General features: G+C 44.5%; 1 non-coding gene across 1 annotated transcript; it reads right to left on the bottom strand.

The window, feature by feature from the left end:
- Positions 1–2,515: 2,515 nt before the first annotated feature.
- RNU105C (RNA, U105C small nucleolar) lies at positions 2,516–2,725 on the bottom strand. The gene has a single exon (NR_004385.1). It is a non-coding gene; the product is annotated as an RNA, U105C small nucleolar (small nucleolar RNA).
- Positions 2,726–2,949: the final 224 nt, after the last annotated feature.

Here is a 2,949-nt window from a genome sequence, read left to right as displayed (position 1 = left end):
TCCTCCCTGTGGGTGAGTCGGTCCATGCCACAGTCTACCTCCCACCTCTGTGCAAATGACCACCGCCTCTGGCATATTTCCATGAGAACTTTCCACAAGCCCCAGTCCATATTTCTAACCACCTGATGATTGCTTGGTGACCTCAGACCCATCATTTACATCGCAGACCCCTTCCTGCTCCCTCCAGCCACTGGTCCAGTCGCAGGGCCCTCCACCAGCACCTAGGCCCTGCCAGCTCCACAGCTCTTTCATGGAAGAAGTCAGGCACTGTGCTGCGGCCGCAGGGAGGAGTCAGGAAAGGTCAAACTGCCACTGACTGAGCAAAAGAACATCTTTGCTCTTAATCAGGAAAAATCTCATTAAAATGTGGAGTGGCCCCTGAGGAGCAGGGGGAAAGAAACTGCGTTTTTGTGGTAGTTCTTCAAAAGAAAATCAGGGCCGGGTGCCATGGCTCATGCCTGTAATTCCAGGACTTTGGGAGGCGGAGGCGGGCAGATCATAAGGTCAGGAGTTCGAGACAAGCCTGGCCAATATGGTGAAACGCCATCTCTACTAAAAACACAAAAATTAGCCGGGCATGGTGGCATGAACCTATAGTAGTAATCCCAGCTACTCGGGACTGAGGCAGAAGAATTACTTGAACCCAGGAGGCAGAGGTTGCAGTGAGCCGAGATCGCGCCACTTCACTCCAGCCTGGGCGACAGAGCAAGACTCCATCACAAAAAAAAAAAAAGCAAATCGGTTAAAAGGCTGAACCATACAAGTACTGGATATAAACAAACTCATCAGTCATTTCCATCTGTAACTTCTATCAAGGAGGGTTATAGCTGGTCAAAGAGTTATTTTATGAAGTTGTGTCAAAAGCAAGAAGGACATCCCTGATTTCTCAAAGATTCCATGGGAACTTGATGACCTGTGCTCAATAATGTTTTTTTTCTGTATCCTTTCACCTGAAAAAAGCATACTGTATAGTAGGAAAGGAAAAGAGAAAAAGGGGGAAAGATTCAAGATAGCTACTAATAAATTACTAATAGTTACCATTTATTGATAGCCTAAGATGAACCCAGTGTAATAAGCATTTCACGTGCCTTGCAAAATCCCATGAGAGAGATATTATCATCCCCATCATACAAATGAAGAAGGAGGTTCAGAGAGGTTAGGTCATTTCTCTAGGGGACACACAGCTAAGAGCTAAGATTCCAACCAAGGTCTACCCAGTGCCAAATCCAGTGCTTTTTTTGCCTTATTCTCCTCCATCCAAAAGGAAGATTCTAGAAAAAATGCCATCTATCCTTACAAAGAATTCTAGGCCTTTAAAACTATAATTAGCTGATGCTTCAGAAGTCATTAATTATTAGTAATATATGTAGAAAAAAATTCGGAGTGTTTTTTTTAATTTGTTCCAATAATGTGATGTATTTAACTCTTTAAAACAGCAATGGATGATGGCTGGGCATGGTGGCTCATGCCTGTAATCCCAGCACTTTGGAAGGCCAAGGCGGGAGGATCACTTGAGGTCAGGAGTTCGAGACCAGCCTGGCTAACATGGTGAAACCCCATCTCTACTCAAAATACAAAAAATTAGCTGGGCATGGTGGCAGGCACCTGTAATCCCAGCTACACAGGAGACTGAGGCAGGAGAATTGCTTCAACGCGGGAGGCGGAGGTTGCAGTGAGCCAAGATCGCGCCACTACACTCCAGCCTAGGCAACAGAGAGACAGTCCATCTTAAAAACAAAACAAAACAAAACAAACAAACAACAAAAAAAACCCAGCAATGGATATAAAGACACATTGTCAAAAAACTTGCCATTTCGGAACAAAGCATGATTGTGCTCCCTAATTGTGAGTTTAGTGCACGTTGTGTAGCCATCCTCCTACATCCCCTGACCCCCTTGCTAAACTGCCAAACTCTCCTTCCTCTAGGGTGCTCAGAGGTAAAATGTGCTCCATAGGTAAAGTATATGCTCAACTGCCATTGTAATAAAGATTAACAAGCAACTAGTACTTGCTAAGCTAAGCCCTTCATGTGCGATGCCTAACCTCACCCTCACAGGATCCCTGAGACATAGACATTACGGGATTCCTTTTACAGACGATGAAGCTTAATGTTGGAGAGGATGAAGCATTAGCAAAGCATACAGCTAGTCAGTGAGTTCCTACTCATACTGTGAAACTTCGGAATCTCTGTTCTTAACCTCCAGCCTGTCATCACTCTTCTCTTCCTGTTCATCCTTCTCGTGACTTAGCACCCCTCCTCTGTAAAATACCTCTGTGTCAAGTACCTGACACAGATGAGAGACCAGTGCTCCGGGTAACGGAGTCTAAACACCACCTTTGACTCCAGAGTCTTTTGGGGGAGATGAAATTGTTCAATACTCCCCAGCAAAAGGCAACTGAATTTATTAACTCTATTAAATACAATTTCTAAGTGAGATTGTCTATTCACTTGTTGTCTATCACATTCCAAATATGTTGGGTTTTTTTGTTGTTGTTTTTTTTTTTTTCAAACTAAACTTGTTTCCTGCACGATTTGTCTCACCAGTCATCATCCACAGGACTCAGGGAAGCTATAGGAATATGCAGGCGCAGACAGGAGACCCAGCTTCATCTCCAGCATTGTGGAAAGGGGCTGTACTGTACGTCATGGACCAAACGTCTATGCTCCCCAACACCACTTCCACAGAGCCTGGGGAGAGTGACCTCCCAGACTATCCATGTTGGAATTTTATTTATTCTTGAAAGCTCTTGCAAGGTTTGTGTTCTAAACTTCACACTTATTACTCAGCGTGTCTCCCTTTTATTACTAGAGATTTCCCAAAGTGGATAAATGCAGTCAGCAGTCAAATTCCTGGAGACTGGTCGGCTCTGACTGGAAGGAAGTGACATAAAATGGTGAGACCAGGCTTCGTAATCAGACAGTCCTGGGTTTGCCTCTTGACTCTGCCA

This window comes from Homo sapiens, chromosome 8, assembly GCF_000001405.40.
Source record: "Homo sapiens chromosome 8, GRCh38.p14 Primary Assembly".
NCBI lineage: Eukaryota > Metazoa > Chordata > Mammalia > Primates > Hominidae > Homo > Homo sapiens.
The sequence above is the reverse complement of the archived record's forward strand: the minus strand, read 5'-3'. Positions and strand labels throughout refer to the sequence as shown.